This window comes from Homo sapiens, chromosome 21, assembly GCF_000001405.40.
Source record: "Homo sapiens chromosome 21, GRCh38.p14 Primary Assembly".
NCBI classification, from domain to species: Eukaryota; Metazoa; Chordata; class Mammalia; order Primates; family Hominidae; genus Homo; species Homo sapiens.
Window position 1 is genome coordinate 35,762,131 of NC_000021.9, and position 24,553 is coordinate 35,786,683.

Here is a 24,553-nt window from a genome sequence, read left to right on the forward strand (position 1 = left end):
GGCCAGATAAGAATACGATCCCAAGAGATTCCTCCTAACCACTCCCACCAATAACCAGTCTAATATGCTTTCCCTAAAGGGTCTTCCAACCAGGAGGTCACATGCTCCAGAAGCAGCCCATCCTGCCCATTGCAGCTTCTGCAGCTCCCTGTTTCTGTTCTATTTCCAATCATTGCACTGGACACATGAGCCCTTCTGTAGACCATCAGAGAGAGCTCCTCAACCCCTTCTCCCAGGTGTCATTTACATCAGGCAAGAAGGCATGGCAAATGGGTCATTCACATCTAAGTCCGCAACAAAAAGCAGGGGTTGTCAATGGCATTTGTACATAGAAAGTCCCCAGTATTCGACTTGCTTTTTCAATAACTATTACCCAAATATGTACTCAAACCGTGGGACACTGGCTGATGTCAAAATTCTTTCTGAATGACTATGAAGTCTGCCCATATAGTTTATACCCATATAATAGTGAAGGCTGACTCTCCACATTTTCTGTGAAATTAACAACTTTGAGAACTTGCAATCTACCAGCATTCCCAGCAGCTAACTGTAGGTAATAGATAGGATGTCTTACTTATTTAGTAGTCTTTATTCTAGCCACCAAACCTCTTTTAAAAAAAGAAATGCTTCTAAAACTAATATTTACTTGTTCCTCCAGAAATACTTTAATTGGCTTTGTGAAATCAATGGTTCCCTTGATAATTGATAAAAGAGTGTCTCTTTTCCCTGTCCTGGCAATATCTTGCTTTAAATAACAGGACAGATCATTCTTTCACAAATATGAAAAACAGATTTTCGGAAACAAGCTTATTTTATTAAGCCATGTTATTTAATTTTACCTGACATTTGCAAGTCATTTTTGCTAGTAAGCACTCTACATTAATACCTTGAGTTCACATAGAGTTTAACAATATGAATTTCCTATCAGAGAAAAGTACAATATATGTTTGGCAGAAGCCAAAGTCATGAAGAATTAACAGTTATCAAATCCCAAAGGGGAAACAAATTCTCTTTGCTCCTCTCTTGCCAGCTGTCATGAATCCAATTTGCACTTTCAAAATTCTGCCTGTTACCCAGATTCGGGAATGAGAGGACTAGTAACTTAGCATACTCGTGCCCAACCATACCAAATCCAAACATTTACACACAACCCAATTGTCAACAAGGTAGAAAAAGGGTATCAGCTTAAATGATTGTTATATCAAACATACCTAGAATGTACCACAGAGTAAGTTATTTTCATATGCTTAAGTAGATGTGACAAATACCAATCTCAAATTATAAATTAAATGGATTCCTGAAAAATTGTACTACATGAAAATCTACTTTCCCATTGACATTATTTTATTTTATTTTATTTTGAGATGAGGTCTCATTCTGTCACCCAAGCTGGAGTGCAGTGGCATGATCTCGGCTCACTGCAACCTCCAACTCTCAGGCTCAAGCAATCCTCCCATCTCAGCCTCCCGAGTAGCTGGGAACATAGGCATGTGCCACCACACACAGCTAATTTTTGTTTTTTGTTTTGTCGTGGTGGTGGTTGTGGTGGTGGTGGTGGTCGTTGTTGTTGTTGTTGTGATTAGAGTCAGGGTTTCGCCATGTTACCGAGGCTGGTCTGGAACTCCGGAGCTCAAGCGATCCACCCGCCTCGGCCTCCCAAAGTGCTAGGATTACAGGCATGAGGCACCCCACCTGGCCCGTTGACATATATTTTTAAATACATAAAACAAGATTCAAAGTTTTAAAATGCAGGAATCGAGCAGTAATACAAACAGCAAATATCAAACAATCATAGAGTTTAAGGAAGAGTGTTCTTTCTTATAAGCATAACTCATGTGAAAATACACTTTGTGTGGGCCTTCAAATCTCCACAACTTTTCTGGGCCTTCAGAAACACTGTTTCATCTGCATAGAGCCATGTCCACCTGGGAAATTCCTACTCAACCATAAAGGCACAATCCAAATATCACTGCCTCTACAGATCCAGGTTTTCCTGCCCTGTGATCCCTTAAGAAAAAAATGTCAACACCTTTCCATGAACCCCAAGGCAGAATGAGGGCTTTCCTTTCTCTCCTGGCCCCTGAGAATTCCTCCTTGGTAGCCCTGAGCACAAGCACAGGTTGTTGTCATCATTGTTGAACGCTGTTATCTTTCAGGACCATGGACCATGTATACCCTTCGGGAGGAGATATATAATGCACTTTGGGGCTCAGTGCCTACATCCGTGCCTGGCATCTCACTGGTGCTAAGAAAACACTTATAAAATGAGTGACCAAAGAAAATGAAGAAATTAAATGTTAAATGGTATCTTGAATTCTTAAAAGCTTATCATAGATACCCCATAAATTGGCCTCAATGGCCAATTCAGAAACATTTCCAGTTAGCAGGTTCCTTAGATCTCCTAGCATCAATACAGGGGTGTATTTTTAGTTTGGTTGCTCTTAGTAAACCCTGAGCTCTCTGATTTCAGAAAGGATCCACAGACCTTCAAGACCCTGAGGTGCTCATCAGTTTACATCAGGGTGACTCAACAAGAAGCTAGAGCCCAGGGACACCCCACTTAAGAATATCTTAATTGGCAGGCTTTTTAAACTGCTCTCAGCTGATTAATGAGTACTACCAGAGGGATTATGTAATTTACAGAGCAGGAACAGCTCTGGAACTGAAGGTTGCCAATTAAAGGTATGTGCAACATCCCAACAGCAAATTCAGCCAGGCATGTTGGCTCATGCCTGTAATCCCAGCACTTTGGGAAGCCCAGGCTGAAGGATTGCTTCAGCCCAGGAGTTCAAGACCAGCCTGTATAACACAGGCAAACCCCCCATCTCTACAAAAAATATTTAAAAAACACAAGCCAGGCACGGTGGCACGTGCCTGTAGTGCCAGCTACTTGGGAGAATCTCTTGAGCCAAAGAGGTCAAGGCTGCAGTGAGCTGTGATTGTGCCAATGCACTCCAACAGCAAATTCTAAAGAAATGCAAAGAAGACTGCATATCAAGGGCCAACACATCCTCCCAAGCAGGCCATGTGGTGCCCATGTCACATGCTCATGCTGGTAGGAGCTCTCCCGTGCAGTCTTTAGAGAGCTGTTTAGACAGACGGCAGAGCATGCACCAGCTTTAGAGTCTCCCTGATAAAGAGCTTAGGGCTAATGTCTACAGGACTGACATAGTTCTTAAGCTCCACAACTCTCAAGAAACACAAGAAACCTAAGGATATCAAAGGGCTGATGGGTGTTGCAAGGCAAAGCAGTGAGTCAGAGGTGGTGGGCAAAACCAGCCAAAGGAAAATGACCCACAATGCTTTTCTGTAGGCTTATTTAATGAAAAATTAAAATCCACTTTAAGCTACACTGAGTATTGATGGAATTGCAACCAACATGACAGTAGAGGTTCAATGTTTTCAATAGGTGAAGACAAGATAAGGCCATACTGGAAATAAATTACCAGTAGGCCTCACAAGGGGGTGGGAAATTGGAAAATTCTCTAATGAATATTAGATGGCAGACAGAGAAGGTATTTTTCCTTTTGCATATTTTAGTTTGCAAATTATGAACCTAAACGCTTGATAACCTAGAGTCCATATTCTGCCTGTCAACCTTCAGCCTACAAAAGGGCTTTTATATTATCCAACATTCTGGAATCTGCTTAATGCAACCACCATAGCTTGTAGCGGATGAAGTAACAGATTGGCTTGAACTGAAGCAACCTCAGGAAGGTATAATGTAAGACAGGCACATGGGGTAGTCAGCTGCTAAAAGCTCTTGATGTCAGTGGGTGCCCTTGTATATGAAGGTTTTTAAGCCCTTCCTGGACAGTCAAGTATGCAACTAAAGCACAACATTTTTCTTGTACCCTTTGAATAACTATGTGGCAAAACTTGTTTACAGAATTTATTCCAATATATCTTAAGAATTCCTAATTCAGCTGAATTAACAATTTAACTGCTCTTTCTTCTTTCTGCTTCTATAGTCATATTTTGCTACCAATCTGTTTTCATTTATTCAAATTGCTATACAGCTCTGCAGTGTTCACCATTACCAAGAATTATTGCCACTTTATTTATTTATTTATTGAGATGAAGTCCTGCTCTGTCACCCAGGCTGGAGTGCAGTGGCATGATCTCGACTCACTGCAATCTCCGCCCACCGGGTTCAAGCGATTTTCTCTTGCCTCAGCCTCCCCAGTAGCTGGGATTACAGACACACACTACCATGCCCAGCTAATTCTTTTGTATTTTAGTAGAGACGGGGTTTTACCATGTTGGCCAGGCTGATCTTCAACTCCCAACCTCAGGTGATCCACCCGCCTCAGCCTCCCAAAGTGCTGGGACTACAGGCATGACCCACTGCACCTAGCCTATTGCCACTTTCTAATAGCAAGGTCCAGATTTTGAAAATCTGAAGTTTATGGTACCTGTGGAAACACTCAGCAAAGTAGGTACCAAAGAGATGTTTACAGCTGCTTTTATTAATTTTCTTTATTCTATGGTTTCAGCCAATGCACAGAACTAAAAGCTGATATATAAGCTACTAGGTTTTGAATCTGTAATTTCCAATTATTGTTAACAAACTGTCCCAGAGAAAATTATGAAGACAGAGGTATTAGTCCGTTTTCATGTTGCTAGAAAGAACTGCCCAAGGCTGGGTAATTTATAAAGGAAGGAGGTTTAATCAACTCACAGTTCAGCATGGCTAGGGAGGCCTCAGGAAACTTACAATCATGGTGGAAGGGAAGGGGAAGCAAGGCATCTTCTTCATAATGCAGCAGGAAGGAGAAGTGCCGAGCGAAGGACGGGTGGGGGGTGGGGGGGAAGAGTCCTTATAAAACCATTAGATCTCGTGAGAACTCACTCATTATCCTGAGAATAGCAGAGGGGAAACCTCCCTCATGATTCAATTACCTCCACCTGGGCCCCCCCCTTGACACGTGGGGATTATGGGGATTAAAAAATGAGATTTTGGTGGGGACAAAAAGCCTAACCATATCAACAGTCTTCTACTTTCATACAAAATAAACATCCATCCCTGTGTACATATGTTTGGGATTGCAGAAAGCAAATAAATTTGAGTACAACTTAAATAACATATTTCTCATGACAGGATTCCCAAATGTATGTAAAATGTCCTTAAATTGACTTCACCTTTACATATATCCTTCAAAAACTTATTTCTAATATTTCAATCATTCCTCTTAATATTTTGTTTGCTTTTCACACATGAACACACAATTGACAAGATTTAAAGTCATGCATGCCTAAGGGTAACTCACCAAGAAATTTTCCATTTTTCCTCCAATTGTATGAATTTTTTAACCTACACTTCTTATCACAGTTATTAGCATTTGAATATTAGCATTTTTCACTTATTTCTATAAATTAAAGCCAAAATTCTAGAAATAAACAATTATTCAAACACTGCCTTTCAGTGAAAGGTAGCAAAGTGGCTACAGTTGAAAGTTCTTGTCAAAGGCAACACCGCACACATGGCTCATTCAGCAGCTGACATCTGAAGTCTGCCTTGAAATCATCAATATCTCCAAGTGTGAGTAAATTTAAATCCAGAGACCCTCTGTACTTCCAGGTGATAGCAGGACAGAGTGACCCAAATCACTGGGCCCCTTCTCTCCTGTAGCCACACTGGGACATTCTCAGTTACTCACAAAGACCATGCTGTCTCAAATTCCAGCTTTCACACAAGCAGCTTCCTCAGCCTAGAACAACCTTTTCCCACCCATCTTCTCCAATTTTCTTCTGGGACATTCCTGCTTGTCAGTTCTCAGCTTAAATGTAGCCTTCCATGAACCTCTACATCAGACTCTGCATCCTCCAACATTACTCTGCACCTGAGGCTCAGCAACACTCCCAGGCTTGTAATGATGCTTGGCGGCTACCTTCCTGAAATGACCAACAGCTCTACATGCACAATCTGGAAACCCCTGTCCTCTGTCCAGCCCATTCCCATTGCCAGGCACATAACACACACCCATCTTTGAAGAAACAGATTAAATCAAGTTTAATGAAAAGCTCAGTGAACAGAATTTTTTTCTGAATTATTAACTTTCCTTTTGTCATGCTTAAGGAGAAGAGAGAGAGAGAAAGAAAGAAAGAAAGAGAGAGAGAGAGAGAGAGAGACATTTGTGTCTGCATCAGGGTGAAGCAATACAACTGGGCCATGGAGGTTATTTACATGGCATTCCAGTGGGACAAGTCTTCTTTCTTACAGACAGGTTTCCAAGGCCAAGGAAAGCAAACCAAGGCATGCTTTGGCCAAACATCTGCGATATTTTGATCCTCATCCATTTCTTCATACCAACAGAGATCTGGCCTCTCTGTGTAGTAGCATCAATGTTCTCTAATATTCTGTGTTGGCCACATGCTCCCCCAAAGCCAAGGAAACAATCCTGTCTTCAGCGGGGAGCTGGAGAGTTGATTCAAATGTAAAGCAGAAAGCCCAGGTTCCAAAATGAGAGCCACAGTGAGTCCTGTGATTTTCAGTTTTGAAGAAAGGGCAGTATAACAAGGATTGATTCTCTGCGATCACCAATGGCCCCTGTGTTAGTCTGTTATGCTGCTACAAAGAACTGCCTGAGACTAGGTAAATTATAAAGGAAAGAGGTTTAATTGACTCACAGTTCAGGGAGGGGGCTGGGGAGACCGACCGCAGGAAACCTACAATCATGGTGGAAGGGGAAGCAAACACATCCCTCTTCATATGGCAGCAGGAAGGAGACAAATGAGAGCGAAAGAGGGAAAAGCCCCTTATAAAACCATCAGATCTCATGAGAACTCACTATCACAAGAACAGCATGAGGGTAACTGCCCCCTTGATCCCATTACCTCCCACCAGGGCCCTCCCACAACACATGGGGATTATGGAAACTACAATTCAAGATGAGACTTGGGTGGAGACACCTCCCAACAATATCAGCCCCCTTCTCAGCTCCCAGATACACAAAGCAAACAACCAAAACCACAGGTAAGGAATTCCATATGCTTTATCTTAAACAATAAAGAAAAATTTTTTAATTTTTATTTAAATAAATATTATATTTAATTAATTATACATATAATTATTTATATAATTATATTTATATTTACATATTTATATATTATATATTTATTTATATTTATATATTTATAATATATATTTATATTTATATATTTATATATAATATATATTTATATATAATATATATTTATATATCGTATATACTTATATATAATATATATTTATATATGTATATATTTATATATAATATATATTTATATATGTATATATTTATATATAATATATATTTATATATGTATATATTTATATATAATATATATTTATATATAATATATATTTATATTTATATATATGTTATATATTTATAATATATATATTTATGTTATATATTTATATATATATTTATGTTATATATATTATATGTATACATTATAATATATTATATGTATACATTATAATATATGTAAATATTATATATATTACATGTATATATTATATATAATATATTACATGTAGATATTATATATATTACATGTAGATATTATAATATATTACATGTAGATATTATATATTATATATTACATGTAGATATTATATATTATATATTACATGTAGATATTATATATTATATATTACATGTAGATATTATATATTATATATGTAGATATTATATATTATATATTTATATGTAGATATTTATATATTATATATATTTATATGTAGATATTTATATATTATATATTTATATGTAGATATTTATATATTATATATTTATATGTATATATTTATATGTATATATTTATATATTATATATATTTATATGTATATATTTATATATTATATACATTTATATGTATATATTTATATATTATATATATTTATATGTATATATTTATATATTATATATATTTATATGTATATACTTATATATTATATATATTTATATATTATATATTTATATATAACATATTTATATAATTATATATAATACACATTTATTTATATTATATATTTATATAATATATAAATTATATTTATATATCATGTTATATTTATCATAAATAATATTTATTATTTCCCAAGTTAGAAATAAAAAAGAGAGGAGTAATAAAAGAAATATGAGGTCCAGGCAAGGTGGCTCACTCCTGTAATCCTAGCACTTTGGAGGGTGGAGTTGGGAGGATTGCTTGAGGCCAGGAGTTCAAGACCAGCCTGGGAAACAAGGCAGGACCCTGTCTCTACAGAAAACTTTAAAAATTAGCCTGCATGGTACCATGCAACTGAAGTCTCAGCTACTTGAGAGGCTGAGGCGGGGGGATCACTTGAGCCCAGGGGTTTGAGGCTGCAGTGAGCAATGACCATACCACTATACTCCAGCCCAGGAGACAGAGCAAGACCCTCTCTAAAAAGAAAAAATAAAGAAAGAAATATAAACTTGCTTCTAAGACAATAATATTAACAATGAGCTTTTTAAACAAATATTTTTTAAAATACATCGTTCAGCAAATTCTTTTTTATCAAAATTTTTCTACTGAAAGCTAACCTGATATTGTTGCAGAGGTTCTGGAGCTTGGCTCTTTGCCTCCAATTAGGGGTCATTGTACCTTAGTCACCAGTAGGTACGGGAATACCAACAGGCCTCTGCCTCAATGCGGTAACATAAAGCAATACAGAAACAATTTTTGGCTTTGCTGCAAATGTGCATAATGGAAAGCAAATATTATTAAAAAGAGAATCATTTTTAGTGATTAAAACAATCCAAGGCAGAAAAAATTTCTCCCATAAGTTTCTAAGTTCTCATTTATCATCGTTTTGCCGCAAGAAGCCAGAGTAATTTTATTTTTCCTGACTTCTATTAAAAAGATCAATACATATGATTCCAAAGAGTCTCGGCTCATGAAAAGATGGAGCAGGCCTGTAATCACATATGAAAGTATTGGTTGTCATTAGCAGAAAGATTGATCTGAAAAGACAGCCGGCCCAGAGTGAAAGGACTTAAAAATTTCCATCGGACTGCCCAGCAACTTTCACCTTCCAGATGATTAAATACAGATAACAGATTACCATATTAGAGGAAAGAATTGGATTGGGGATATTCAGTGGATACCCACTTTAGCAAAGCAATACCAAATTTTTCAATAATAATTTTGTCTGATGCAAAAAAAAATTAATGCTGCCTGACAGTACAAAGTTATTGTTCAAGGTACATTTAAGTCAAAGTTGTTGGATGAAATTCTTATAGTTACCTGTGGCTTCAGAGGCTCTAATGAATGCACATGTTCAGTTGACTTTTTAAAACGGAGTTAAGGAACATATTCAGACAAATTCCGTGGGCTTATTCCATGAACAGAGCTTCTTTCCACTGTCTTCAGTGAGTTATTGACATGACCCTTGATGATGATTGTACAAAACTCACAAGAACTGAACTCACAGCCATGTAAAAGGCTTTCTTCACTCCATAGCTCTTCTTTCCAGAAATCTACTTATGGTTTAGTAAAAATGCTAGCTATAAAACAAGATGGAATTTTTATGGAACCTTGAAAGGGCGTGGTAAACGTGGAAATTCAGAGTTGTGGTCCAAGGACATTGTAAACTAGAGGTCAGCGTTTTTAATATCTTCATCCTTGTCCCACATATGTGCAATATTGACAAACCTCAGGATGATGTTCTCATGCTCCAGAGTTGAGAGAAAAGATGCAGGAGAGGCTGAGACCAGGAGCAAGAGGGATGCTCTTAACAAAATGTTGGCCTGTACATTTTCAAGACATCTGAATATTTCATCACTCTTCAATCCCTTTACTTACTTAGCTGCCAGCAAATAAATACCTGGGATTCTCACAGTATTCAGAACTGTTCATAATTATCAACCAGTGATCATTTGTAATGAACTAAAAGTTGGTATTGGAAAAAGATGCCAACATCCACTCCCTAGAACAATATTAAGAGTAAGTGTGCATTGCATTTATATTAAGTACCATTGTTTGTAATGGACTTCAAAAGTATTTGAGATATTTTATATAAGTACAATACTCTATCACGCTTCTACAAATTCCTAAATGCCTTCATTATCTAAGTTTTACACAAAATCCCATTGTCATGGTATCTACCAGACACTTCACTGCATAGAAAGCAAAACTGTTTTCCTCCATGTCTAAATGAAACAAAACATAAACACTTGTTTTTATGAAAATACCAGAAAATGTTCATGCTTTTGGAATTTCCTGTAATAATAGTATCAGGAGTAAATTCCTCTAAATACAGAGGACAGGAATAAGACTAGCCAGAAATTATTTTTAGTTTCCCAAACTTAGTAAATTCTTGCCCATTTTAAGCTGAAAGGATTATTTTCTTTTCTTGCAACTAAGAAAACTTCTCCATTTTACTAATTCAGTCAATATTTTTAAGATAGCGAGAAATGTAATTTTTTCCATGCTTTGTGTAAGATTCTGTGTAAGTATAAATGTGCATGGTCATATTCCAGGCTGGTAATGAAGACACATCTTTTTAAAGCCAATTATCTTTTTAGGACTATCAAGATAATAATCACTGAAGGGGATTACTGCCTTAAAAGTGGAGCATGATGGCTCTCCAAGACTAGAGAGGGCTATAGTAACTGCCCATCCTGGACCTAATGAAGGGTTCTCAGAAGGTGACTCTTCAGTCATCAGACACCACAATGGACAGACAGTCTGTGATGTAGCTGTAAGTGCTCAGTGACAAGAGCATCTGTTGCCAGCTCCCTGTCCCTCCTCTGCCCTGCTCTGTCTTGTGTATGTCTTGAGGGAAGGTCTACGATATGACATCCTGGGTTGACAATGCATCCCAAGGAAGATGGCATAGCTTGTACAATGTTCCAAGACACGGGGCTCTGATTTGCACTGGGCTGGGTTGATGGCAAGGTGTATAAGTTATATCACATTCCTGTCCTCTGTGCAGAGTCTGACAAATAAAAAGTGGCTGAGGCACAAACCATGAGCTAAATAGGGCCTCAAGCATTCTACTTTTCCAAACACCATGGAAATTATAGTGTTAAAAAAACCAAGAGAGAGGAAAAGCTATAGTGTAGCTGTATTACTCATGGATCTCCAGAGAAACAGAACCAATAGAGGTATAGAGAGAAAGAGATTTAGTATAAGGACTTGGCTCACATAATTATACAGACTGACAAGTCCCAGGAACTGTAGGGTGAGTTGGGAAGCTGGAGACCCAAGAGACCCAATGGTGCAGTTCCATTCTGGGTCCAAAGGCATGAGAACCAGGTGGGCAGGTGGTGTAAATTCCAGTCCAAAGGTTGGTAGGCTGAAGACCCAGGAAGAACCAACATTTCACTTCAAGTCTGAAGGCAGGAAAAAGCCCATGTTCCAGCTTGAAGGACAGTAGGCAAAAGAAATTCTTTCTTACTTGGGGGAGGTTCAGCCTTTTCTTCTACTCAGGCTTTTGACTAATTGGATGTGTCCCACTCACATTAGAGAGAGCCATTTGCTTTACTCAGTATACCAATTTAAGTGTTACTCTCATCCAAAAACACCCTCACAGAAACACTCAGAATAATGTTAACTGAATATCTAGGCATCCCATGGCCCATCACAGTAACCACGTCAAATGCTAAGCAAATAGTTTTCCTTTTGTTTGTCTTAATACAAGTGAAACTTTTGTTTTTTTCCTTTTTTTATTATTCCTTTTGTCCATCTGGTTTAGTATAAACAAATATTTCTTTTGAACTTCAACAAATAAGCAATAGATGGCCAGTAAAATTGCACAGAAAACTCTTTTCCCTCCAGCTAAAGCAACTTCAAAATACATTTATTTAATAAAATAAAGAATCAATAAAATTTTAATTTTAAGCAGTCAGATTCAATGCCAAGTTGTCCTGGAAAGAAATTTGATAGGAATGCATGCTCCTTCTTTTCTTTGTAGCACATGTCAGGTTACAATCTGGTGCAAAGAAAGATGTGCAGCTGCAAAACTAGTGTCCCAGATCTAGCCATAATGATGTAACCTTGGGAAAGATTTTGCTCTCAAATAACTGATAATTTGATAAGGTGGGTAAGACAAACAAAAAAGACAGTAGACTGGTAACTACCTAAGGAAGGTGCAAAGTACTGGGGGAATCAAGAACAGAAGAGCCCCCATCCAGGTGGACATGAGCTTCACGAACAGTCTTTCAGAGGAAACCACCCTGATTTACAGTAAACTCACCCCTTTCTGGGGTCACACTTGAAACAGAATAGCTATACCCACAACCACTCCATCCAGGGACAAGAACTGCGTTCATTCAAACTCATGCCACGTTGTTTTTTCTCTCGGCTCTGCTCAGAGTGAAGTTCATCGTGCAGCAATGAGAAAAGCCCCCATAAAGTCATTCTGACATAAATATCTATAGACAAGAACTGTCACCATTGTCCTTGCGAACTCGTCTTGAAGAAGCATTCCAAGATGTGTGCAAGGGGTGTATGCCTGTGTGTGAATGAGGACAAGGAGGTGTGCAGCTCTTCTATGATTCTTGCCTCAGACTAACTAGATAGCTTTCCTATCAGTAAATAAGGGCACACTGAGTATTTGCTGTGAACCAGGCTCTATCATGAGGCTGTAAACAAAGAACTCAGATCCTGTCCTCCAGGAGCTTGGAGTCTAGATGGTCATAGAGCATTAAACAAATAATGACAAGTGCAGACATAAAGTATAGTTACAAGTTTAAAACTAAAGCCTACACAGCTGCCATACAGTGATTCTACCTCTGTTCTATGGTTCTAGGATCCACTGCTGCAAAGAAAAGGATTATTACTCTTGTCCTTGTACTGGGTTGTGTTGCAAACGTCTGCCTCAGCTCCCTGAAGACAGTCCTGTGGCCTCAGCATGGAGTCCTCACTCAGTCCCTGGGACCACTGTACTAAGCAGTGGTTCATAGCCTGTGTGAGCAAAAGGATCACCTGGGGTACTAGAGGGTAGATACCTGGCCTCACTCTCCCAGAAATTCTGATTCTGTGGATCTATGCTGTATTTGAAAAAGCCACCTGAGTATTTGAAAACCCACTTCACATAATAGCAGACAGTATATGAACCACCCCAAGAAACCATGTGAGACCAATGAACTAAAGACCAATGAACTAAAGCCTCCAATTTTCCTTATCCAGACAAATTAAAAATGTAATTTAATTGATATGCTACATTAGTTTCAGAATATCTCAAAAAACATATATTCACAAAATAGAATACCTTTTCCTGCCTTCAAAAGACAGTAAGTTGCAAATGATTACATTCTGAAAATAGAGGAATGTTCACAATCCTGATATTTAAACTCTTTGTAATGAGGTTTTTTTTAGTATATAACTTTAATATGTGCTCCAAATGAATAAAAAGATTATTCATTTATCATTCAGTTTTTTTAAATATTAACTGGTAAATCCCTCTTTTAGGAAGCATAAATAAATACCTAAGTGTAAAAAATATGCTAAACCAAATACTAAATACTGCCAACAATTCATAATGGAAATAAAATCAGCTTCAAAATCCAAGCTAAACCACAGATTAAACAGAGGGTTTTCATGTGACCTCGAAATCAATTCTTTTGTTTTCTTTTGCCATTTTTAATAACAAACAACTGAATTTTTTTAAAAAACATATTTTCATAAAATTGAATGTTGTTCTTTCACATAACATTGATTCTAAGGCAATGTCATCAATAGTCACAAGTAAAAGAAAAGGAACCTCCAAAGCCATAAATTCGATTGGAACTGAGATACCAAGTTTGTGAGTAAAGATCAGCAAATAATTTTTTACAAGATATTAAGACTTGTAAGGCTTAAGATATAAGCCCAGAATGATACAAACTTAGACGGACAGGCAGGAAGAGTAGGAACAGGAAAAACGTGTTTCCCAACATGTCATTGAGGGTTATTATTAATTCAGAAAAAGGAAATTTTGTGTTAAAAATTTCAAAACAATGAACATTAAAACTGCTCAGTTGCAAGGTCAGCACTGAAAATAAATAGAAATGGAATCATTATTTCAATTAGTGAACAGTTATCATGTAGATGCCCCAGTTCTGATACAGAGATCTATGTTAGAGACACAGGGTAAGTAATACACGCACTCACCACCTAGCCTGCAAAGTGACAGACAGATGTGCAGTTCATGTTGGGGCAAGATGTCTATTGCACTGGTCCTATGAAGCAGTGATTCAGAAACAGTAAAGAGGGCGTGGTGACTTCTTCCTGGGGAGTATGATTAGGATGGCCTCACAGAGGTGAGTATGTTGCAGATTTTGGGTTGGGCAAGTCTCTGGGTCAAAGCTTCATTAGCTTGGGGCAGTTGCTTGTTTAATTTGCTTGGAGTTCCTTCTTTGGACTTCGTCTTGATTTTCATTACAAATTCTTCCTGGGGAGTCCTTCACGTCCATGTGTTCAGCTATCATCCACATGTTTATGACTCCCAAAACTATGTCCTGAAACAAAAACCTCCTTCCTGTGATTCAAAATCACAGCCAAATTGCCTTCTGGATAAACTACAGGCCTCTCAAATTTGACACTTGTAAATCAAAATTCATTGACTTTTCCCCTATCCCTGCCCTCAACCCAAACCTCTACATCCTCTGTTACTTGCCTTTTCAATGACTCGCACAGCCCCTCAACTAGTGCCTAAGACAGAAATCATACGTAATCTCAGACTCCTTCCTCTTCTCTCCATATCCCAGCCACCAAGCCTGGCCTCTCCCACTTAAATCCCACATTCCTCTTATTCTTCCACAGTTGCAATCATAATTGATGCTCTCAGCCTGGTTTACCTGGTATCTCTGTCTCCAGTCTCATTCCCTTGCAATCCACCCTTGGCACTTCTGCCATGATGGACTGTAATTGACAGCTGATGATTTTGTTTCTCTTATTAAAATCCCCCAGTGCTGTCTCAGGATAAATTCTGTACTCCTCATGAATAAATTCTGCACCTTTCATGAACTGAGGCCTCTCATCCACCATCCTTTTTTCGCACTGCCCCAGGTAGGCACTCAGAGCTCTTCCCATACAACACTACTTCCCATGCCTTGGCATACACCGTCTTCTCTCCCTTTCTATCAACAGACCACCTTCTTGGCCAGCCCAACCTCTGCCCAGCTCAGTGACTTCCTCCTTTGGGGAGCCACCTCTGACATCCCCAGGCTGAGTCAGGTCACCCTCTTTTCCCCCTGCTTCCTGTGGCTGTCACTATTGAACACACCTTCCAGGGTTGGTAGTACTAGGACTCTTTGTCTGCCTCCTGCAAGCTGACATGTGAAGCTCAAGGGCAGAACTGTGTTCTGTTCATTTTTTTTTTTTTTCTTTTCACTTTAAGTTCTGGGATACATGTGCAGAACGTGCAGGTTTGTTACGTAGGTATACATGTGCCATGGTGGTTTGCTGCACTCATCAACCCATCGTCTAGGTTTTAAAGCCTGCAGGCATTAGGTATTCGTCCTAATGCTCTCCCTCCCCTTGCCCCCTACTCCCAACAGGCCCGGTATGTGATGTTCCCCTCCCTGTGAACATGTGTTCTCATTGTTCAACTCCCACTTATAAGTGAGAACATGCAGTGTTTGGTTTTCTGTTACCATGTTAGTTTGCTGAGAATAATGGCTTCCAACTTCATCCATGTCCCTGAAAGGACATGAACTAATTCTTTTTTTATGGCTGCATAGTACTCCATGGTGTATATGTGCCACATTTTCTTTATCCAGCCTGTTCATCTTTATAGTCCTTGTGCCTACCACAAAGCTTAACACATAAGAATACTTCAACTGTTTGTGGATTATCTTAATTAAGCAATGCCATTCACTGAATTTCATGATTATTCCCATTCAAAAGGAATAGTTTTAAAACCTCAGGAAGCATGTGACTATCCAACAAATTATACCCCTCGAAAACAAACTACCAACAGCGAAACTCCACACTTTCAAGTTATATAACTATCATACAAAAGCAACCGATTAGTATGGAACATTTGGGTCAACCAGTTGTTTTTTTCTACATTGTACCAAACACTTGATTTGGTGGTGGTGGTGGTTGTTTAAGTGTTGCTTAAACCATTATATTATCTCAGGCTTGCAAGGCAGCTGAGTCAATGGAGCAGTTGTTTAAGTATCATGTGGACTCAGTGTGCAGCTTTGGCAGATATTACTGAGTTACTGCAACCAATTCTCACCAGTGCTTTTTTGAGCATCTACTTCATAGCAGATGAATCCACAGACCCTACCTCCATGTTTCTCAGAATCTTAGCCCCTGGACCACCTTTATCCAACTCACCTGAGAGTCTTGCCAGAAATGCAGATTCTGGCACCCTACCCACAATATCCTAAACCAGAACCTCCAGAGGCAGGGCCTGGCCATGTGCATTTTAAGAAGGTCCATCCTACTGATATAATCCAAACTCAAGTGTGAGTGGCACTGGTCTACTCTTCAGTCAGTCCTACAGAAAGTGTAAAGAAAGGATAAAGAAGTAGGGTGATGAGGGAGTGAGGGGAGCCAAGCAGGAGAGTGACGTGGTAGAACACTGGAACAGCTACTCACAAAGAGATCCAATACAGTAATGGTATACACAAAAAGAGTTTATTTCTGTTTCACATAAAAGTCTGGTTGTATTTGGTCCTGGGCTTATACAGAGGTATCATGGTGTCAAGGACTCAGGATTCTTCTATTTCTTCTATTAGCGCTTTTCTTCTATTAGATCTTCTAATACTTTGTGGTTCTGCCATCCTTAGGGTCTTTCTCTTAATCTATAAAGTCTAAGAGTTGTTCATTATCACCTCCTCATTTCAACCAGACAGAAGGAAAGGAAGAGGGTCCCTTCCCCTTAAAAGCACTAGCCAGAAGGTACCCTCGCCATGGCTGTTCATATTCCACAGTTTACCCACCTATCTCCGTCCAACTACAAAGGAGAGGGAGAAATGTACTGGGGAAAGGAGAAACCCGTGTGCCCAGCTAAAATGTGAGTTCTGTAACAATGGAGGGGAAAGAAAAATAGATAATGGAGTCAACTTGCTGCCTCTGTCACCTGAGAGGAGAAGGGGAAGCGGGAGGGGAAGAGTAGGAAGGGGAGGTAAAAGGGAATGAAAAAGAATATAAAATTTACTATTGTCCATTTTTCAAAAGCCCCTACCCCTGCCCACCCACCGCCACACATCTATTCTAGTCTGCTGTTCCTGATTTTCTAAGCTTCTTTAATCAAGCCTGTTGCATTCACTTTCACTCACACCCCTCTAGCCTTGGCCTTGGACATTGACTTTGATTGGAAAACAATCTGCTGCCAATTCTTCCAATATTATCAGCATAATGGGCTGCAGGCACAATCTGTTTCTCAAAGTTCTCTGCTTTATGTTAAAAGTCAGGGGCCCAAGGATGAATTTCAAACAATAGAGTTGCCTTATTTGCGGTTCGAGATGGTTGGTCAGTCAGCCCTATCCCAGCACTCTTTGTAGGTGAATGATGTGGGCAGTGTTGCAGACCTGTGCTTGATGAACTGAATCTCCACGTGCATAATCACCCTGACTTTCAGGTGAAAACTGCCCTGGTTTATAGTCTGGTTGCTGGAGAAAGTCTAAAGTGTGAAGGAACAGGTAGCCTCAGTGTTATCCGGACACTCTAGCTACCTTCCTGTGGAGTAAGGATTCCCATGGCCTCATGCCCAAAGTGCTGACGTCTCAAGAACAACCCCCTCCAGCCTTTCACTGACCTAAGATGAACCATGTGACATTCATTCCATGGATCAGACATCAGGTCAGACCTTATTGCTTTTGGACAGCAGCCATTACATGATTTACGGAGCAAAGGATAGGTACAATACAAACCTCAGAGTACGTGACAAAGTTAGAGGGTATTTCTAAGCATGAAAATATGCAACATTTCAGGAGTAATGTCATAAAAAGAGGGATCAGACCAACAGATCACTGTCTCCATTTAACTGTAATCTCTAAAAATAACTTTAGCTCTCATTTCTGAGTCAGAGAGAAACTTTAGAAGTTACATTCATGCTTTTAGGAGGCAATATGTAACCCAACTTCTCCAAAACTAAACTTAAATATAATCTAAGTCAGAATTCAATCCCCCAAGGAGATTTCAGTATAGACTCAGATTCACAAAGCAGAGGAAGAGATAATGTGGTTTTATTCCAAAGCGCAGACTTAAACACATGGCAACCCTCATCATTCTCAAAGTTCCCAATTGCTTCATTTGCTCCCAAGAGTCAAGTGGCTTCTATAAGAAAATTACATGCGGTCAGAAAATTACAGGAGGCCTGGTTCTTTGGGAGTAATGATCCATTCATTTGATAATTTGCTAAATGCTTACTCTTTCTGCTCGTCATTTTTTCCTCCTGGTTAGTACATCATGCATATGGTGACAAGAGATAAAGAAATGGACAAGCTCCCAGAAAAAACAGACAAGAAATGGGACCAAAAAAAGACATAAAATGTCTTTTAAAATAAGCTTAATATTTTGAAAAATGCCTTTTATGAAAAATACCAGTGGAATAATTTAGATGTACCCTTGTAGCCTCACAGATGCTGATTTTTCAGATGGTGGTGCCACATACCCCCACCACTGGCATGGATCCCACTGCAAAGGGCCTCTGGGGACATCCAAGCACAACCCTGAATAGACATCTGGCCATAGACAAATCCTCCTTGTCTCCAGAGACTTCTACAGGATTCCAACTCTAGTTTTTAAAATGTGAGTATATGAGACACATGGGTCTGTAGGCTCTGGTTTTAGAGGTGAATCCTTCACATTAATGATTCTGAGATTGATTTTCTCCTTTGTTGGCCCTTCTTGACCATTTTTACCTTCTCAGTGACCACGTTTCAGTGCTCACTAGGACCTGGACCGGGGGCAGGGTAAACCGAGGTAAGTAGCTCTGTGTTACTGCCTGCTACTATGCCCACGGATGTGTGGTGATGAGAAGGGTAAAACAAAAAGCCAGAATTCCTTTCCAGGATGAAATAAATGCAAGATAAGCACAGGGAGCTGCTCAGGTGCCTGAGGAAGGTGGCCAACTCCAAATGTCCACAAAGTGTCCATGTCAGGTGACCCAAAGGTGCAAAAAACAGGCAGACTGCTTCTGTGCCCAGTAGCAAGAATATCAAGTACGTCAGGTCTTTTTGGTGTGGCTTAATACAGCCTACTTAAAAGGAAAAATAGAAAATCTATGTGAACAGTTTCCAGCTGCCAGCTCTAATTTCCCATGATGGCCCATGACAAGGAGTGCACAGTGTTATTGATCAGTTATGACATTATCAGAAAAGGGCTGAATGGAGTTTGCTCTCACTCTTTTCTTTCTCTTTGCTCTTTGTCAGTGTCCTTAGGAAATGTATCTAATTCTTAGGCTTCTCCAGCCAAGCAGGATGGGCAAGAAGACATTTATACTGGATGGCTTCTAAAAACATGTTATACCAGTTTCAATATTTTAGGAAAATAACTGTACAATAATCCAATATTAACAGAAGAAAGAAAATATTCATTCAAAAGTGCCTATATGCTCATGTCCTATGTATTTCATGTCTTGGACCAAAATATTCTATTCTTCTCATGAAACCACTTATAGTTACCAAGCTGAAAAATCAAACAGACATTATGTTTTAGCAAATTTCTTCATTTCCCTTTTGAGTTCTTTGGAAAGAAGAGAACAAAGTGCAGAGAAATACTTATTCTCTAGGCCATAAAATCAGGAGGGCAGGCCTGTGATCTATTGAATGTTGAGCACCAAGCTCAGTACCTGGCACGTAATAGTTGCTCAATAAATTTTGTTACCACATGCTGAATGACTCCAACAAGTAATTAGATTTTTCTGCCACTCCCCTCTATTCAAAGCTCTAACAAAGAACTTTTTAAAGGTGTGAGCCCATGGTCTCTATTAAAGAGTTTTCCATTGCAACTTTTCTTCTTCTAACTAGTAGCTTTCTCTTGTATACTCAAAAGTCACCTCGTTTAGCTTAGTCATGGAGCATAGAGGTTTGAAGTCATGCAAACATGGATTCAGCTACCTGGTTCTGCCACTTGCTAGTGTCATTACAACTTCAGCAAGTTGCCTAATTTCTCTGAGCCTCATTTTTCCCACCTATAAAGGACCATAATATTTCCACAAGGCTATCTATGGATTAAGTGAATAATATGTACAAAACAGCTCACAAAGTGCCTGATAATAGTCTATTTATGATGACCACTTTATTTTAAATATTGTTATAATCATTATCATCACTGGTATCCACTGGAAGCTTTAGAATAATCCTATAGCATGCTTTATAATTAAAACACTGTTATATATCTAATTAAGAAAGTTTTCTTGCTCATACATTTATAAGCTGTTCTTTTGTACTGTATGATACCAAAGGAAAGTTACCTATAGTTTTTGTAATATTCAGGGACAGACAATATTCAAGTATGCAAATTCTTGAATGCAAATTTCTTTAATGCTTTCTTTAGTAGTCTATACAAAACTTTAATATATATGTGTGTATATATTATATATAATATATACATTACATGTATTATATATACACATATGTTAAATATATTATATATTATAAATTATATTATATAATTAAAGATAATATATTAAAATATGTAATCTATAATTATCTAATAAATCATTATATATATTATATAGGTCATGTGTAGTGGTTCATGCCTGTAATCCCAGCTCTTTGGGAGGCTGAAGCAAGAGGATCCTTTGAGCCTAGGTGTTCAATCCCAGCCTAGGCAACATAGTGAGACCCAGTCTCTAAAAATAAATAAATAAAATAAACAATAAATAACAAATAAATAAATAAAATAAACAAATAAAATTATACATATACTATATATATGTACATATTATATACATACACACATATATATATAATTTGCCATTATAAGCTAGCTGTAACTTTCCCAAGGTCAACAGCCTGTCACTGGCCACAAAACACAAAGGAGAAAGTAGTATATATCTACACATCCTCCAAAGCCTAAGGCTGCAAATGGCTGGCATAGAAAACATCCAGTCCTACTGTACCTGAATACTCCCTCTAGAAGGTTCTTAGAATGAATCAAAGGTGAAAGAGGGCATACATGGAAGCCATTGACCAGCCCCCAACTCCATACATACTGCACTCCATCCTTTAGAGGCATAATAATTGGTTCATTCCTACTTGCAATTCAGAAATATTAATTGAGCATCTTCAATGTGCTAAACACTGCTTTGCTTTCAATGATGGAAATGAAGTGGTAAGCAAAACAAGAAAAGTGCCTGCCCTCATGGAGCTTGCATTCCAGAGTAATTTGTTTCTTGGTAGCAAGAACAAGGAGGCTGAGTAACAGACCTTACAGTTGGTGTATGATATATTTTTCAATCTTTCTAAAAGTTCTTAATTATCTGCTGTCTAACTTGTAAGCCAAATTTCATTCCTTCTGTGCAGAATGACATGGCCAGTCTGACCACCAAATACGATGGGGCTTTCTTAACTATTCAAGTACACTGTTGGCAAAAGATAGTGGGCTATTCAAAATGACATGCCGAAACATGTATGGTGATTTTAATCAATTATTTTGGCCAGTTTCAAAGGCATTTATCACAAAGTAACACAGTCTTGCTAAAATATTTCTTTAAACACAGAGTTCTTTGTTCCTACACCTTTAAGAAGTAAAGGGAATACCCAGACACTGTACCTGTTTTGTAAGTTAAAGTGAAAACATACTGCACTGAAACTTATAGTTGATATCTCTTCAGAAGAGAAATTCATCAGCAAGGTAATAATTCCCAGTAGCTACACAAAGAAACCACAGTCTTCAGAAAAACCACATAACAGAGAATGGAATACTGTGAGCAGCCCACATAATTACTCATGATAGATAAGTGTATTAAAAATTAAATATAAATTATTGCAGGCATTATAGTTTTGGCACAAGATGAAAAAAGTGCTTTATGTTACTTAAAAGTTTTAATAACTGCCTTAAATTTGGCTCAGTTGAAAATAAGCTTATCCTGAGTAAATATAAAGCATTTATTATTTGAAGTATTGCTTTCAATACAATTGTAGGTTTAAAAAAAAACAACCTCTTTGATTTTCTAAAAGTTGCTATGTGGCATTGATCTTTTTTAAAAGTACTAAAAAGAGATACAAATAGGTGAATTTTAAACAGGGTTGTTCTAAGGAGGATTACTTTAACATATGAAAATCTCTTACCAAAACTCTGCTAAATCCTAAAATCAAATCCAGATGATTTTGAATCTAAATGTGAGAGGGGAAAAAATAAATCTTTTAAAGAAAAACATAAGAGAGTATCTTCATGACCTTGGAGTAGGCAAAGAGTCCTTAAATAACACAAAAAGCACTAACCTTAAAACAAAAAAGATAAGTTAGATTATATTAAAATTAAGAATTTCTGTTTATCAGTACTAAGAGAGTGAAAAGAAACCCACAGAGTAGAAAAAGATGCTTGCAATACACGTCTCCAACAAAGAACTGACACTCAGAACATATAAAGAATTCCTGGCCTGGTGCCGTGGCTCATACCTGTAATCAGCACTTTGGGAGGCCGAAGCTGGAGGATCACTTAAGCCCAAAAGTTTGAGATCAGCCTGGTTAGCATAGTGAGAACTTGTCCCTACTAAAAAAAATTTCTTAAATTTAGCTGGGTACAGTGGTGTGCACCTGTAGTCCCAGCTACTTGGGAGGCTGAAGCAGGAGATCACTTGAGCACAGGAGGTCAAGACTGCAATGAGCTATGATCACTCTATGCACTATAGCCTGGGCGACAGAGCAAGGCCCTATCTAAGAAGAAGAAGAAAGAAGAAGAGAAGAGGAGGAGGAGGAGGAGGAGGAGGAAGAAGAAGAAGAAAACGAAGAAGAATTTCTACAACTCAATTCAATAAGAAAAAGAAAGACAACAATAGAAAAATGAGCAAAGGACTTTAATACCTACTTCACATAGAACGATATCCTAACAGCCAATAAATACATGGCAAGGAGCTCACCTTCATTTGTTGTCACTGAAATGCAAACTAAAACCACAAGGAGAGACATTATACTTCCATCCAAGTGGCTGAAATTTTAAAAAGAGGCAAATACCCAATAGAGCAACTGACATTCACATACACTGCTGGTGGGGATGTAAATTGGTACAAATACTTTAGAAAACTGTTTGGCAGTATCTGCTAAGCAGAGGTCTTCAAAATGTGGTCCCTGGACCAGTAGCAAAAGCATCACCTGGAATTTGCCAGAAGCCCACATTCTTGGGCCCTACTCCATACCTACTGAATCAGAAACACTCCAGGTGTTTCCCAGAGATCTGTGTTTTAACAAACCCTCCAGGTGGTTCTGATGCGTGTGCAATCTTGAGAACCACTGTGCTAAAGCTCAGCATATGCATAGCCTCTAACTCAGAAACTGTACTCTTAGGAATGTCTACCAGAGATGTGTATGAGCTTTCATCAAAATACATGTACAAGAGTGTTTGCAGTAGCACTACTCAAAACAGCCAAAAACTGGAAACTATCTGATATGGTTTAGCTGTGTCCCCACTGAAATCTCATCTTGAATTGTAGCTCCCATGATCCCCACGTGTCGTGGGACAGACCCAGTTGGAGGTAACTGAATCATGGGGGAGGGTTTTTCCCGTGGTGTTCTCATGATAGTAAGTCTCACGAGATCTGCTGGTTTTATAAAGGGCAGTTCCCCTGCACACGCTCTCTTGCCTGCCACCAGGTAAGACATGCCTTTGCTCCTCCTTCACTTTCCACCATGTTTATGAGGCCTCCCCAGCCATGTGGAACTGAGAGTCCACTAAACCTCTTTTTCTTTATAAATTACCCAGTCTCGGGTATAGCAGCATGAGAAGGAACTAATACATTACCTAAATGCCATCAGTAGGAAGGACAAACAAAGCATGCTATAGTCACTAAGTAGAAGTCTACACAGCAATGAGGCTGCATAATCTATAATTGTATGCAACAGTGTAGATGAACCTCACATACATAATGATAGACAAAAGAAGCCAATCACAAAGCTACACATCTTGTAGGATTCCATTTGCAGAAAGTACAAAAAAAGGCAAAACCTGACTCTGCTATTACAAGTCAGGATATGGTTATGATTGGGAGAGACCAGTAGGTGAAGACTGCAAGGGCTCTAAGGAAGGCTTCTGGATGCTCCCACCATTTTTTTTTTCTTGAGCTGGGGTTGGTTACAGTAATGATCTGTTTATGAAAATGCACTGTGCTGTATGCTTATAATGTGAGCACTTTTCTGCCAGTATACAACAATGAAAAGGTTTTCTTAAAACTTGATTAAAATAATTCTTTTCAAATTGTATAATAAGTGTGAATTACTTTAGGTAGAATATTTGCATTGGAAAAAGTTTAGGACATTAAAGAGTAATGTCCTAATATTCCACTCCAGGGAATTGTCATCAATATGGCAGAAGAAGAAAAAAGCTTACAAGATCAAATACCAATGAAATCTTCCCTGAATGACTGCATCAAGGTACTAAAAATGGTCCCTGGGGTCAGACTAAACAACAGAAACCCACCAGTGGGCATAGTTCGTCA